The sequence below is a fragment of the Homo sapiens genome, chromosome 13 (assembly GCF_000001405.40).
Source record: "Homo sapiens chromosome 13, GRCh38.p14 Primary Assembly".
NCBI classification, from domain to species: domain Eukaryota; kingdom Metazoa; phylum Chordata; class Mammalia; order Primates; family Hominidae; genus Homo; species Homo sapiens.
The window spans coordinates 31304454-31321476 of NC_000013.11; the positions used below are offsets into that span (position 1 = coordinate 31304454).

Below are 17023 nucleotides of genomic sequence, written 5' to 3' on the forward strand. Positions count from 1 at the left end.
ATAGGCTCAAAATAAAAGGATGGAGGAAGATCTACCAAGCCAATGGAAAACAAAAAAAGGCAGGGGTTGCAATCCTAGTCTCTGATAAAACAGACTTTAAACCAACAAAGATCAAAAGAGACAAAGAAGGCCATTACCTAATGGTAAAGGGATCAATTCAACAAGAGGAGCTAACTATCCTAAATATTTATGCACCCAATACAGGAGCACCCAGATTCATAAAGCAAGTCCTCAGTGACCTACAAAGAGACTTAGACTCCCACACATTAATAATGGGAGACTTTAACACCCCACTGTCAACATTAGACAGATCAACGAGACAGAAAGTCAACAAGGATACCCAGGAATTGAACTCAGCTCTGCACCAAGCAGACCTAATAGACATCTACAGAACTCTCCACCCCAAATCAACAGAATATACATTTTTTTCAGCACCACACCACACCTATTCCAAAATTGACCACATAGTTGGAAGTAAAGCTCTCCTCAGCAAATGTAAAAGAACAGAAATTATAACAAACTATCTCTCAGACCACAGTGCAATCAAACTAGAACTCAGGATTAAGAATCTCACTCAAAGCTGCTCAACTACATGGAAACTGAACAACCTGCTCCTGAATGACTACTGGGTACATAACGAAATGAAGGCAGAAATAAAGATGTTCTTTGAAACCAACGAGAACAAAGACACCACATACCAGAATCTCTGGGACGCATTCAAAGCAGTGTGTAGAGGGAAATTTATAGCACTAAATGCCTACAAGAGAAAGCAGGAAAGATCCAAAATTGACACCCTAACATCACAATTAAAAGAACTAGAAAAGCAAGAGCAAACACATTCAAAAGCTAGCAGAAGGCAAGAAATAACTAAAATCAGAGCAGAATGGAAGGAAATAGAGACACAAAAAACCCTTCAAAAAATCAATGAATCCAGGAGCTGGTTTTTTGAAAGGATCAACAAAATTGATAGACCGCTAGCAAGACTAATAAAGAAAAAAAGAGAGAAGAATCAAATAGACACAATAAAAAATGATAAAGGGGATATCACCACCGATCCCACAGAAATACAAACTACCATCAGAGAATACTACAAACACCTCTATGCAAATAAACTAGAAAATCTAGAAGAAATGGATACATTCCTCGACACATACACTCTCCCAAGACTAAACCAGGAAGAAGTTGAATCTCTGAATAGACCAATAACAGGCTCTGAAATTGTGGCAATAATCAATAGTTTACCAACCAAAAAGAGTCCAGGACCAGATGGATTCACAGCCGAATTCTACCAGAGGTACAAGGAGGAACTGGTACCATTCCTTCTGAAACTATTCCAATCAATAGAAAAAGAGGGAATCCTCCCTAACTCATTTTATGAGGCCAGCATCATTCTGATACCAAAGCCGGGCAGAGACACAACCAAAAAAGAGAATTTTAGACCAATATCCTTGATGAACATTGATGCAAAAATCCTCAATAAAATACTGGCAAACCGAATCCAGCAGCACATCAAAAAGCTTATCCACCATGATCAAGTGGGCTTCATCCCTGGGATGCAAGGCTGGTTCAATATACGCAAATCAATAAATGTAATCCAGCATATAAACAGAGCCAAAGACAAAAACCACATGATTATCTCAATAGATGCAGAAAAAGCCTTTGACAAAATTCAACAACCCTTCATGCTAAAAACTCTCAATAAATTAGGTATTGATGGGACGTATTTCAAAATAATAAGAGCTATCTATGACAAACCCACAGCCAATATCATACTGAATGGGCAAAAACTGGAAGCATTCCCTTTGAAAACTGGCACAAGACAGGGATGCCCTCTCTCACCGCTCCTATTCAACATACTGTTGGAAGTTCTGGCCAGGGCAATCAGGCAGGAGAAGGAAATAAAGGGTATTCAATTAGGAAAAGAGGAAGTCAAATTGTCCCTGTTTGCAGACGACATGATTGTTTATCTAGAAAACCCCATCGTCTCAGCCCAAAATCTCCTTAAGCTGATAAGCAACTTCAGCGAAGTCTCAGGATACAAAATCAATGTACAAAAATCACAAGCATTCTTATACACCAACAACAGACAAACAGAGAGCCAAATCATGAGTGAACTCCCATTCACAATTACTTCAAAGAGAATAAAATACCTAGGAATCCAACTTACAAGGGATGTGAAGGACCTCTTCAAGGAGAACTACAAACCACTGCTCAAGGAAATAAAAGAGGACATAAACAAATGGAAGAACATTCCATGCTCATGGGTAGGAAGAATCAATATCGTGAAAATGGCCATACTGCCCAAGGTAATTTACAGATTCAATGCCATCCCCATCAAGCTACCAATGACTTTCTTCACAGAATTGGAAAAAACTACTTTAAAGTTCATATGGAACCAAAAAAGGGCCCGCATCGCCAAGTCAATCCTAAGCCAAAAGAACAAAGCTGGAGGCATCACACTACCTGACTTCAAACTATACTACAAGGCTACAGTAACCAAAACAGCATGGTACTGGTACCAAAACAGAGATATAGATCAATGGAACAGAACAGAGCCCTCAGAAATAATGCCGCATATCTACAACTATCTGATCTTTGACAAACCTGAGAAAAACAAGCAATGGGGAAAGGATTCCCTATTTAACAAATGGTGCTGGGAAAACTGGCTAGCCATATGTAGAAAGCTGAAACTGGATCCCTTCCTTACACCTTATACAAAAATCAATTCAAGATGGATTAAAGATTTAAACGTTAGACCTAAAACCATAAAAACCCTAGAAGAAAACCTAGGCATTACCATTCAGGACATAGGCGTGGGCAAGGACTTCATGTCCAAAACACCAAAAGCAATGGCAACAAAAGCCAAAATTGACAAATGGGATCTAATTAAACTCAAGAGCTTCTGCACAGCAAAAGAAACTACCATCAGAGTGAACAGGCAACCTACAACATGGGAGAAAATTTTCGCAACCTACTCATCTGACAAAGGGCTAATATCCAGAATCTACAATGAACTCAAACAAATTTACAAGAAAAAAACAAACAACCCCATCAAAAAGTGGGCGAAGGACATGAACAGACACTTCTCAAAAGAAGACATTTATGCAGCCAAAAAACACATGAAGAAATGCTCATCATCACTGGCCATCAGAGAAATGCAAATCAAAACCACTATGAGATATCATCTCACACCAGTTAGAATGGCAATCATTAAAAAGTCAGGAAACAACAGGTGCTGGAGAGGATGTGGAGAAATAGGAACACTTTTACACTGTTGGTGGGACTGTAAACTAGTTCAACCATTGTGGAAGTCAGTGTGGCGATTCCTCAGGGATCTAGAACTAGAAATACCATTTGACCCAGCCATCCCATTACTGGGTATATACCCAAAGGACTATAAATCATGCTGCTATGAAGACACATGCACACGTATGTTTATTGCGGCACTATTCACAATAGCAAAGACTTGGAACCAACCCAAATGTCCAACAATGATAGACTGGATTAAGAAAATGTGGCACATATACACCATGGAATACTATGCAGCCATAAAAAATGATGAGTTCATGTCCTTTGTAGGGACATGGATGAAATTGGAAACCATCATTCTCAGTAAACTATCGCAAGAACAAAAAACCAAACACCGCATATTCTCACTCATAGGTGGGAATTGAACAATGAGATCACATGGACACAGGAAGGGGAATATCACACTCTGGTGACTGTGGTGGGGTCGGGGGAGGGGGGAGGGATAGCATTGGGAGATATACCTAATGCTAGATGACACATTAGTGGGTGCAGCGCACCAGCATGGCACATGTATACATATGTAACTAACCTGCACAATGTGCACATGTACCCTAAAACTTAGAGTATAATAAAAAAAAAAAAATTAAAAAAAAAAAAACAAAAAAAAAAGCTAGTCCCACATGGCTTACAGATGAAATGTATCAGCTGCATAATTTGGGGTGTTCTACTTGGCATTTATAGGTGGAGTCTGGCAGTCCCCCTTCTCAGGGTAAACAGATCTTACAGTGGCTTTTATTCAGTCCATCAGGCTTGCTGTTCCCTCAGGAATAACCTCCTGTGTGTCTGGATTATGTACACCCATGTGCAATTGTTCAGCATTGAGTTGTGGGTCCTGCATCAAACCAAACATGCTCTTCCATTCTGCAGCATTCAAAACCAAAGATACTGCCCCTAAATTAGTTATTCTCATAATCCATTTTTATAAAGGTTCCTCAAGAGGTGGATGATACAGATCTACAAAATGGAATAGTTCCTTTACACCATACCCTCTAGTTTCAATAATTATTTGGTTCTTCCCTTCTCCCACAGGTCACCACAGGTCTCAGAGGTACTTTCTGTTGTTCCTGCATAATTTTTCCCTTGTGCCATGGTTCTGAGGCTAGTGGCTGAAGCTTAGACTCACTGAAATCTAAGTTTGGTGTATGTAGTGTCACGGTCTAACCCAGCACTTTCTTTTAATTTTATTTTAGCTAGTATAGATAACAATAATCAAGGGATTGAATAGTTTGCTTTTTTCTGATTAGTTTGCATTTTCTTATGCATCCGGTGAACCAATTCTCCATCTCTAAATTCCATTGGTAACTTTTACCTTTAGTAACTCAGCAGAGCACTGTGACTTCATATCACAGGTGATTGTTTGGCCACCCAGGAATCAAGGGTTTCTCATCCCCCAGGCTTTTATCCTTTCTCTTCTCAAACCAAATGTTTCTCTGAACCTGAGCCATTCTAGCTAATCCCACTTCACTAACATCAATTGTTCCTGAAAAACTCTCAGAACATTTTTTTCTGTGTTCTTATACCACAACAATCAATGAGGAAGACTTCTGTGACCCTGAAATATGTGGGAATTTCTTCTCCCCAGCAAACAAGCAGTCCTCTTCCTGCTGGGTGTCCTCCAATTCAGTTCTGACACCATCTGCCTGGAGATAGCCTTAGATCCCACAGGTTGACGGCTCAGTCCCCAAGACTGCTTCCCCAGACACCAGTCATAAGTCCAGACCTCCAGATCTTCTGACTGACTGACTTTAAGTTGGGGTTCCCACAGCCCCTTCTTTGGGTTCCTTTAATTTGCTGGAGCAGCTCACAGAACTCAGGGAAACACTTAGGTTTACTGGTTTATTTTAAAGGATATTATCAAGGATGCAGATGAAGAGATGTGTAGGGCAAGGTATGGGGGAAGGAGTGTGGAGCTTCCTTGCCCCACTTGGGTGCTCAACCCCCAGGAATCTGCACATGTTTAGCTATCCAGGAACTGTTCAAACCCTGTCCTTTTGGGGTTTTATGGAGGCTTCATTATATAGGCATGATTGACAACCATTTAAAAATGTGATTGAACAAGAAGCCCATGTTCTAAACCCAGAAAGACCTCCTTATTCAGACTTTTCTTGGCCTCTCTGTGTAGTATTTCTTCCTCTAGGTTATGGGGCAGGACATTTTCTGGAATTAGAGTCTTTTGACCCACAATCAGATTAAATTCCTACCTTGGGCAGGTACAAGGACACTGATAGAGGCAAGAGGCACACAAATTCCTAGGCAGAAACGGCCAGGTCCCCAGTGAAACCCAACCTTCAAGCCAGGCTATCAGCTCAGGGTGGGGTCCACAGCCAGGAGTGAGAACTTCCTCGATGCCTTTTAGCTAATCAAATGGTGCTTTTCCCAAGCCCGCCTATGGACCAGTCAGCACACACTCCCCGATCCTGAGCCCATAAAAACCCCAGACTCAGCCACATATTGGGACTACCTGCCTTAGTTAGGGCACCCTCTCATACAGAGGGCTACCCACTTTGGGTCCCGTCTTGTGTTGAGAGCTGTTCTTGCATTGAATAAAACCCTCCTCCACCTGGCTCACTCTCCAGTGTCTGTGTAACCTCATGCTTCTTGGATGTGGGACAAGAACCTGGGACCCGCTGAACAGTAGGAGTGAAAAGGGTTATAACACTTTCCTGGCTGGCTCACTGAGCTGAGGGTGGTGACACACTCCTGTTCACTAGAGCAGCAACCCTTCTAGGGGCCTAGACCTCAGGATTCCCTGAGCCAGAGCTGTAACACTGTAATCCTCCCACCCTTTGCTGGTGCTGGGCAGCTGCCCCACATTATGGGAACTGGCAGCGGTGGGGCTGGGCCAGCCCAGGAGCCACGGGCTGGAGTGGGGTGGCAGGACCAAATGAGCTGGGACATGCCCCCATTCACGAAAGCATGCAGATGGTAGGAATGAATGAGCTATAACAGGAACAAGCTGTGATGCTTCCTGGGGGCTCAGAGCTTAGGACTCCCTGAGCAAAAGGGTAACACCCCTTGGGGCTCCGCAGTTGCTGGCATCTCCAAGTTTTCAGGCTCTGCTGCATCCCCCACCCCTTGTCCAGATGCTGGCACCCAAGGCAGAAGCCAGTCACAGCATGCCCAGCCCAGCTATGGGCTGAGCACAGAGCCACAGCAGGTGTGGAACCTGGGCCAATAACATGAGCTAAGCATTGCCTGCCAGGCTTAATGGGCAGAGCAAGTCTAGTGGCAAGCCCAGAGCTGAGTGAGGCCCCGGCCAGAGGTGCAGCTGGCCAACCGTGGAGATTTCTGGCTGGTGAAGCAGCACTGAAAGAATCTTGTGTCAACAGGAGAAGGTCAGAGAGAGAGATTGTTTCCTGACATCTGCTCCTGAGGCCTAATAAAGCAACCCAGCATTATAATAAAAGACTAACAAGGGCTATGGGAGTTAAGAGCCAGGAACTCTGGATGTAAACCAATATATATGTATTAGTCCATTTTTACACAGCCAAACCATATCAATATATAATCATAATATCACACCAGGACAGTGGACAGCTCAGTAGTCTGACAGCAAGAATATAATGCTCAATTCTAAACTGGAGAATGTAAACACAGCAAGGAAATCCTGGATACAGCGTTGAATTGTACCATGCTAGACTGGCTGCTGCTCTCCATGATTTTGATCTGTCACACATCAATAAGAGACCTAGAACTTGCTTTCCTGAGAGCAAGAGATGAGTAGTTTTGTTTGTAGGACACAGTTAATTTTGATGCAACTAACCTAAAAGATAAGCATATTCTTTCTCAACCACTTTGTAAAGCTGAAAGTAAATTCAGTAGCCTAGAAATTGATCTCCATCATACAAGAGATGCTCTCAGAGAAAAGACCTTGGTTTTAGAATCTGTACAAAGAAACCTAAGCCCTCATGCATGGCACCAGGTCGGGGATAACCAGGTCCACATGTCTTTATGTCTTTCCACAATGTCAGACTTTTACTGATACTATTTCAGCCACAAAAGCCATGAGCTACATGGAGTTCCCAAGGAATCGATTCTCAGTACTTCCTTTTCAGTCAGTAGAGCCATAGGCACACAGGTTCAAGTCACTCCACAAGTCAGTCAATATTGCAAACCATAATAGTATACTTAATATATAATTTTATAGATTAAACTTCCCATAACAAAGTAACATTTAACATCAAGGAAAAGGGGATAGGAAAAAGGGTTAATGAACCACTCCAGGGAGAGAGACATTGACAAAAAGAATATCCTGGTCTGGGGCAGGCAGTCCCTCAATCTTGCAAGGAAAAGACTTTGATGTGGGCAGAGCCTTCAGTGGCAAATGCCGGGTGCTTATCACAAGTGACAGCAAGACTGTCAGTTAAGATGGCCGTTTGAGCTGCTGAAGTCTTGCTCTTTCTATGGCCACAGAGTCCTATGGTGAGGACTGAAAATGGAGGAATGTGCTTGGTTATGTCCTCATTTGATTGAATAGAGTCTTTATTGATCAAGTAAAACATCTGGCCTCTGTTGGCAAAGTGCCTAATGAAATGTAAGATGGAGTCTTTTTCTGAGATAAAGTTACTTATGTCAAGGATACTCTATGTGTAAGCCAAACACAGTGTCAAATGAAGTAAATCAAGCAAATGTATTAGAATGAATAAGATAAAGTAAGTAAATACATTGGAAAGCAGAAGTCTGTAAAAGAGGGATTATCTTGACTATAGAGTAAAAATAGAAAGCCCCAAAACTTATATGGAAACAAATTTAGTACAACAAGAATGTGGAAACAAATTTAGTACAAGAAAGAGACCAAAGAAAGAGTAAACAAGATATAGTAGAAAAGTTAAAAGAAAATCTATCTTTGCAGACACAAGCAGCATCTTGAGAGAACTTAGTTAAGAGAGAATAAAGTTGCTTCAATAAGAAGTCGCAGGGAGCTGAGAAAGATCTGAAATCTGAACTCTCAAAAATGAAAACTTTCCATAAGACTAATAAAACTGAGTTGGAAAAATATAAGCAGCTCTATCTACAAGAATTAAAAGTTAGAAAATCATTGGCAACTAAACTAAACAAAACCAATGATAAAATAGCAGAGGTTAATAGCAAACTTCTTGTAGAGAACAGCAGATCAGATTTTTACACCACTCTTATTACGAGGCAGTCCTAGAGTCACTTTGTGTGCCGAAAACAGGATAGTGTTCAAAGAACATTTTCTAGTCACTCAGAAACCATCAACATTGTCAGAGGCCTTGACCTTCAGACAGATATAAACCTGATTGGAAGTCTTGTGAACTCTTTGAGCACCAACACTTGTCACTGGTCAGAGTTTCTTTTCATATATTAAATTCGTTTTCTTCACTTTCAGCTTTAGCTTTATTAGCTAGGGTATTTTTATAAGACTCATGAGTGGGGATGGGAAAGGTGATCTTTTCATGTACTTTGTTTTGTTCTTACCCATCCCTCCCACCAAAAAATGAGACCAGAACTGTTAATGTTACTATTGCTCTGTGAGAAAAGATATCTTGGTGAATAATTTAGAGACAGGGCTCAGAAGAAGAGAGGAAAATGTGGGAAAGTTTGGAACTTTAGCCTAGAGACTTGTTGAATGGCTTTGCCCAAAATGTTAATAGTCATGGACAATAAACTACAGGTTGAGGTGATGTCAGATGGAAATGAGAAACTTGTTGGGAACTGGAGTAAAGGTGATTCTTGCTGTGTTTTAGCAAAGAGACTTGTGGCATTTTGCCCCTGCCCTAGAGATTTGTGAAACTTTCAACTCGAGAGAGATGATTTAGGGTATGTGGTGGAAGAAATTTCTAAGCAGAAAAGCATTCAAGAGCTGACTTGGATCCTGTTAAAGGCATTCAGTTTTACAAGGGAAGCAGAGCATAAAAGTTTAGAAAATGTGTACCCTGACTACGCGATAGGAAAGAAAAACCCATTTTCTGGGGAGAAAGTCAAGCCGGCTGCAGAAATTTGTGTAAGTAGCAAGTAGCCGAATGTTAATTCCCAAGATGGGGGAAATGTCTCCAGGTCATGTCAGAGACCTTCGCAGCAGCTCCTTCCCCTGCTCCCCTACCTCCGCATCACAGGCCCAGAGGCCCAGGAGGAAAAAGTGGTTTGTTTCGTGGGCTGGACTCAGGGTCCCCATGCTGTGTGCAGTCTGGGGACTTGGTGCTGTGCATCCCAGCCACTCCAGCCGTGTCTAAAAGAGGCCAAAGTACAGCTTGGGCTGTGACTTCAGAGAGTGGAAGCCCCAAGCCTTGGCAGCTTCCATGTGGTGTTGAGCCTGCGGGTACACAGAAGTTAAGAATTAAGGTTTGAGAACCTCTGCCTAGATTTCAGAAGATGTATGGAAATGCCTGGATGCCCAGGCAAGTTTGCTGCAGGATAGCGGCCCTCATGGAGAACCTATGCTAGTGGGGAAGGGAAATATGAGGTCAGAGCCCCCACACAGAGTCCCTACTGGGGCACCACCTAGTGGAGCTGTGAAAAGAGGGCCACTGTCCTCCAGACCACAGAATGGTAGATCTACTGACAGCTTGCACCATGCATCTGGAAGAGCCGCAGACACTCAATGTCAGCCTGTGAAAGCAGCCAGGAGGGAGGCTGTACTCTGCAAAGCCACAGGAGAAGGGCTGCCAAAGACCATGGGAACCCACCTCTTGCATCAGTGTTACCTGGATGTGAGACATGGAGTCAAAGGAGATCCTTTTGGAACTTTAAGATTTGACTGTACCACTGGATTTTGGACTTGAATGGGGCCTGTGGCCTCTTCATTTTGGCCAATTTCTCCTATTCAGAATGGCTGTATTTACCCAATGCCTATACCCCCATTGTATCTAGGAAGAACTAACTTGCTTTTGATTTTACAGGCTCATAGGTGGAAGGGATTTGTCTTGTCTCAGATGAGACACTGGACTATGGACTTTTGAACTAATGTGGAAATGAGTTAAGACTTTTGGGGACTGTTGGGAAAGCATGATTGGTTTTGAAATGTGAGGACATGATATTTGAGAGGGGGCAGGGGTGGAATGATATGGTTTGGCTGTGTCCGCACCTAAATCTCAACTCGAATTGTATCTGCCAGAATTCCCACATATTGTGGGAGGGACCCAGTGGGAGGTAATTGAATCCTGAGGGCTGGTCTTTCCCGTGCTGTTCTCATGATAGTGAATAAGACTCATGAGATCTGATGGGTTTATCAGGGGTTTCCACTTTTGCTTCTTTCTCATTGTCTTTTGCTGCCACCATGTAAGAAATGCCTTTTGCCCTCTGCCATAATTGTGAGACCTCCCCAGCCACAAGGTGGAACTGTAAGTTAAATTAAACCTCGTTTGCTTCCCAGTCTTGAGTATGCCTTTATCAGCAGCGTAAAAATGGACTAATGCATTACATTGGTACCAGGAGTGGGGTGTTGCTGAAAAGATACTCAAATATGTGGAAGTGACTTTGGAACTGGGTAACAGGCAGAGGTTGGAACAGTTTGGAGAGCTCAGAAGAAGACAGGAAGATGAATGAAAGTTTGGAACTGCCTAGAAACTTGTAGAATAGTTTTGACCAATGAAGTCCAGGCTGAGATGGTTTCAGATGGAGATGAGGAACTTATTGGGAACTGGAGCAAAGGTCACTCTTGCTGCGTTTTAGCAAAGAGACTGGTGGAATTTTGCCCCTGCCCTAGAGATCTGTGGAGCCTTGAACTTGAGAGAGGTGATTTAGGGTATCTGGTGGAAGAAATTTCTAAGGAGCAAAGCATTCATGAGGTGACCTGGCTTATTCTGAAAGCATTCAGTCATATTCATTCACAGAGATGGTTTGAAATTGGAACTTATTAAAAGGGAAGCAGAGCATAAAGGTTTGGAAAATTTGCAGCCTGACTGTGAGGTGAAAAAGAAAACCCCATTTTCTGGGGAGAAATTCAAGCCAGCTGCAGAAATTTGTGTAAGTAACAAGGAGCTGAATGTTCATACCAAGACAATAGGGAAAATGTCTCCAGGGCATGTCAGAGATCTTCACAGCTGCCCCTTTCATCACAGGCCCAGAGGCCTAGGAGTAAAAGTGGTTTCGTGGGCCTGGCCCAGGGCCCCACTGCTCTATGCAGCCTCAGGACTTGGTGCCCTGTGTCCCAGATGCTCCAGCCATGGCTAAAAGGGGCCAAGGTACAGCTTGGCTTTTGCTTCAGAGGGTGCAAACCCCAAGCTTTAGCAGCTTCCATGTAGTGTTGGGCCTGCAGGTACACAGAAGACAAGAGTTGAGGTTTGGGAACCTCTGCCTAGATTTCAGAGAATGTACGGAAATACCTGGATGTCCAGGCAGAAGTCTGCTGCAGGGCTGGGGCCCTCATGAAGAACTTCTGCTATGGCAGTGCAGAAGGGAAATGTGGGGTTGGAGCCCCCACACAGAGTCCCCACTGGGACACTGCCTAGTGGAGCACTCAGAAGAGGGCCACCATCTTCCAGACCCCAGAATGGTAAATCCAGTGACGGCTTCCTCTGTGCACCTTGGAAAAGCCGCAAGCACTTAATACCAGCCTGTGAAAGCAGCCACAGGGGCTGTCCCCTGCAGAGCCACAGGGGTGGGGCCCAAGGCCTAGGGAGCCCACCTCTTGCATCAGCATGTCCTGGATGTGAGACATGGAATCAAGGAGATTTTGGAGGTTTTATATATATATATATATATATATAAATTTTTTTTTTTTGAGACGGAGTTTCGCTCTTGTCACCCAGGCTGGAGTGCAATGGCACGATCTTGACTCACCGCATTTGGAGGTTTAATATTTAATGATTGCCTGGCCAGGTTTTGCACTTGCATGGGGCCTGTGGCCCCTTTGTTTTGGCCATTTTCTCACATTTGGAACAGGAATATTTACCCCCTGTATCCCCATTGTATCTTACAAGTAACTAACTTGCTTTTGATTTTGCAGGCTTATAGGTGGAAGGGACGTTTCTAATTGGTGTAGGTTCTTAAAACATAGAAAAAATAGGCTTTCTTAGTACTACCCTTTGTGTCTACTTAAAAAAGTTATTTTTCGATTTTATTTTCCTATAAATTCATTGTTTTCATCCAAACAGCAGCTGCAGTTGCAGGCATTTTTATGACCAACTCACGGATAGTCTTACTTTAGAGAACCCAGACTAATACACTGCCCTTTGTAAGCTGTTGTTGGTAATGTGTGTTAAAGGCAGATAGGGGCCAAAAGGTATTCAAAAGTATAAGCAATTAGACACAAAAAGTTCTCAGACTTGGGTGGCCTTATTGAGGGAAACGAGCATGGTTGTGCCTCATTATCTGAGGATTTCTAGGATAGCCTCACTGCCCAAATTCTCTTCCCCACCTGCCAGCCAGGGGCCCAACATGCATTTGCATCTCAGTGGCTCCTTTTTAGGCCATCAGGAATTTTTTTGTTAAATACCAAGTTCATCTGAAAAGATGTGAGGATTAGTTCACACTCACTTGAAAACAGGACTGGTAGAAATAAGATCTAGAGCACACTGGCCAACTTCACTTCAGTAACCTGCCACTCTCACCACACAAATCAGGCAGCCGTATTATGGCAGGGGCTTGTAAAAACTGAGGAACAAGCCCCTTGTGTCTCAGTTTCTCTTCTGTTTCCAGTAATGTACAGTGTTCATGCATTCTTTTCTTTTTTTGTTGTTGTTTAAAAATTTTATTTATTTTATAAGTCACTCAAATTTCTTCTCTTAACTATTTCAGTTTAGTATTACACAGTATACAGAGTGGGATGTAAGAACCATAAACTGTTCCATAACCACGTTTGAATCAAATAATCATGATTTGTGTTCCCTTTGGCATCTCAGTATCTCCAGGCTCCAGCACTTGCTTAGCTGTTATGACTCCGGCGAGCCTGTGTTTCTGGGAGAGCGCTACGGCTACGGCCTGGGCACTGGTGGCTACAGCTACATCACGGGAGGAGGAGGGTAACTATGATCACAGCTTTCTTCAACTACTTTAAACATAAACTTCCCTTTCCACACGAGAGGTAGGTCTCTGGCACTGGGATCTATACTGTACGTGAGTACTCTGTGAATGGTGGTTGTTACTATAATAGGAAAGTGAACATTATATTTGCTAAATATTAAAAGAACACTCAGTAAAGAATATTTTAGCCCTTGAAGAAATGATATAAAAAAGTATGTCATACTTGCTAGAATGTCCCTAACAATGGTTGCTTCTAGACAGCCAACTAGTTTTGATTGTCTATTTAAATGGAAAAAAAAAATTGGTTATAGATTTTAATCTCAGAGAATAAGCCATTAGACTATTAAATTATGTAATGCTTAATAAATCGCCTTTGGAGAAAGTGTAGTATAGAAGCTTACTTAGGCAATTAAGTAATATTTATGTAGGATTTATAGGTTTTAAATAACAGTTAAAAATCAGTGTTTTAAATGAAGCATCTGCCTAATCTCATACGAAGAAAGATTTTAACTTGATTTATATGGGTAAATCAATTAAGCAGTTTTCCCTATTACTTCTGTAGTCTTACTATTGGTGCGTGTAGGCAAAATCTTATCAACGGTAGTCATTTAAATTCACTCAGTAGATATTTGTTGCATGTCTTCTGTGTTCCAGGCAGCATTCTAGTTTATAATCTAATGGATTATACACTTCTGGAGGGCTAGGACCTTTAATTCCTACTTTGCAATTCCCTAGATTGGAACAATTCCTACAGGAACCTGCAGGATCTCAACAGTCGTACTACAGGCATCCTGATTTTGTTTAGCCAATACAGTGGTGAAGATAACACGGTTATGGTGGTGGCTCTTTTGTAGTGATAACCAAACCTGAGCATGTGTGCTGATCTTTGTTAGACGATGGCTTGCATCTACCTGAGGTCATTAACAACAGGAGGGGGAGTCCAGGGAGGCCTTTGAAAAGACACTAGAGTAAGCCCAAGGAGTGTTGACCTCCTTATCAAAAAAGGTTCAAGCTATTTGCGGCCTTACTGTAATGCATCGGGCTTTCTGGGTGAAGAGTTAGGGCCAATTAAGGATCAGAACATGGCACCCATTGAGCCAGGATGTTCCACTTTGAAAGTGGCCCTGTTATTTGTATATGGGTTTATATACTTTATAGCATGATGGCGTTCATATAATATTTTTAACACAGAAGTGACTTGTTATATGATTTCTGCAAGAAAACCATTTTGTTGTCTTCATTGCATATTGGATTTAGCTGTTGTTTCCAAGACTGGCACTCAAGGCCTTCTGAAACCTCACTTTACCTTACCTATCTAGAATTGCCTTTCATCATCCCAGTTGGTTGTTTATTCGTTCAACTGGCCTTGTGTGGGCCAGGCACAGGGAATGCACAGATGAAAGCTGCACAGCCCCTTCCCCACAGGACCTCACAGGCCAGTGCCAGATTTGCAAATACATTGCATAATTGTCACTGCTCCCCCTTCCCTTGCCCCTGGCAGGCTGTGCTAGACCACCAAGGTGGCACCTTTAACTTCTGTGCTCAGCGTCTACCCTGCCCCTGGGTACTTCCCACCACCTCTAGTTTTTCTGTCTTAAAACTTCTCACCACCACCATGCCTTCTCCTTCCTACCCTGCGGAACATCTTGAGTTCACTACTCTATCTCCATTTTCTCAGCTCCATGCTCAGCCTTCTAAGAGTCATAAACTCCCAGCCTCCTAAACTACCTCACCAAGGTTTCCAGCAACCTTGCTGTCGCTAAATCAAATTAATAATTTCCAATTTTTATCCTGTTTCACTGACAGCCTTTAACACCAGTGACTGTTGACCTGAAACACCCCTTTCTCTTGCTTTCCAGAGCGCCATCCTATCCTTGTTCATCCTTCTTTCTGGTCATTCCTTCTCAGTTGTTTCTGTCTATCCCTTCAATGTCTTGTGTTACTCAGGCATCTTTTCTAGTCCTCCTTCTCACCCTGTATTGTCCCTGGGTGATCTTATGGCTTGATGCTGAATGTACCCAGAACTCTTTCTCCAGCCTAGAACTCTGCTGGCCTCTGGATTCATAGATTCAAAGGGCATCTCCACTTGACTGATTGACAGACACATCACACTCAACACCTTGTCATTTCTGACCGTAACCCCTGATTTGTTCTTCCAATGTCCCCCTCTCAGGGAAAACATTGGCATATATGAGTTCTTATCCCAGGAGTCTGTGAGTCAGCTCTCACCCTTTCTTTCCTTCTTTCCCCACTCCCTGCAATCAACTGAATCACCCAGTCCTGTCCATTTTATTTCCTAAATCTCTCTTCCATCAATACTTCTCTCTACCTCCAGTAATCTCAGCCAGGTCACTGTCATATCCTATATGAGCTCCTGCCACAGCCTCCTGTTCCCCCTACTTTTTGGTCTTAAACTCCACTCCATGCTGTTGTCCACACTGTAGTCAAAGGGACCTTTCTAAAAGCAGATCTGGTCCTGTCTCCCCTCTGCTCAGAGGCCCTCAGTGGCTTCTCATTGTCTTTTCTCCAAGAGTGTGAACCTTTTTCTACTTTTGACATCTAAGACAAAGAGATGATCATTTAGATTTTAACAAGAGTCAAGTTGATCTGGGATGAGTCCTCAATTTAATCTTCTCTAGTTTGCCTGATTACCAGCCTCCCTGGGTGTTGCTGAGGCCACTGCTTTGGGCCCGAAAGCCCAAGAAAAGTTTTGTCTTCTACCCACTTACCAGGCCCAGTTTGCCGCTGAAAGCTGCCATGGCTGTCTTGCTACTCCCCTAGCAAGGATTTTTCTCTCTAGAAATTCATTCATCTAGGCTTCGTGTCATTCACCTCTCTTCAATTTCATAATTACATATGATTTTCCTGTTATTTGAATATTTTTATTTGAGTGTTACCATGGCATGAAAGTCTTTTGCATCTTCTGATATCCTAACTGGCAGTAGAACTTCTCCCATTGCCTTTAGGATCAAGTCTGCACTCCAAGGCTTATAAGACCTCTCATGATCTTGGCAGATGCTGTTTTACCTTTCTAGCCTCATCCATCTACACCCTTATCTTAAAGAACTCTTGCTGAACTTGTTTCAGTTTCTCTGAAGCACTATTTTTTTCCTCTCCTCCCAAGATACGACATTCGCTGGTCTCTGCATACCATTGTTTCCCCAACTTTCTGCCTGTCTAGTTCCTCCTTGTTCTTTTGGACTCACCATAGCTATCACCATTTACTCTTGAATGCCTTTAGCCCAATCTAGCCTCTCAAATCTGGGTTTAATGCATTTCTAATGTACTTTCATAGCATATTATGCAAACCATTATCATTTAATTGCCTATTTACTTTTCTATTTTCCACTTAAATTATGCATTATTTGAAGGCAACACCTGTGTGTTTCATTTCTCGTTATTTCCTCGCTTCTTAGCATAGGGACTCATGTTTTTCAAGGTACAGTGAATAAATGAATAAACAAATCCATGAACACAAGGCACTGATCTTTATATAGCTAACATTGACCAATGTGATGTTCTGTCTTTAATAGCGCTTTTACAAAGATGCAGGAACATTCGTCATGAGATTGTCTCTTACATCAACCTTTGATAAAAGCTGTAAGACATAATGTTGAATAGTTTCTCTAGTATTACAGCAGAATTTTCTGATGCTCTAGCTTGAGAACCAATATGCCTTTTAACAGCAAGTCAGAATCAGTGGCTTGTAAAACCAATTCATGGACCATGACTAGCATTTTAAATTAATGAACTATTGAGTGGAATAGAATAAAATGGAAAATATCAGAGT

The 17023-nt window shown here is 42.4% G+C and overlaps 1 protein-coding gene and 1 pseudogene across 5 annotated transcripts in view; both read left to right on the forward strand.

Annotated features, from left to right (window-relative positions):
- Positions 1-17023, forward strand: part of B3GLCT (beta 3-glucosyltransferase) — a 132302-nt gene that overhangs the window by 104479 nt on the left and 10800 nt on the right. For 4 of the 5 annotated variants that reach the window (NM_194318.4, XM_006719768.4, XM_047430110.1 and 1 more), the window contains one exon: positions 13113-13232. The exons of the other annotated variant lie outside the window; for it this stretch is intronic. In NM_194318.4, coding sequence (NP_919299.3) covers positions 13113-13232 — 120 coding nt within the window. The remainder of the gene's footprint in view (positions 1-13112; positions 13233-17023) is intronic. 5 annotated transcript variants of the gene reach the window in all.
- ANKRD26P4 (ankyrin repeat domain 26 pseudogene 4) lies at positions 6832-8475 on the forward strand (annotated as a pseudogene).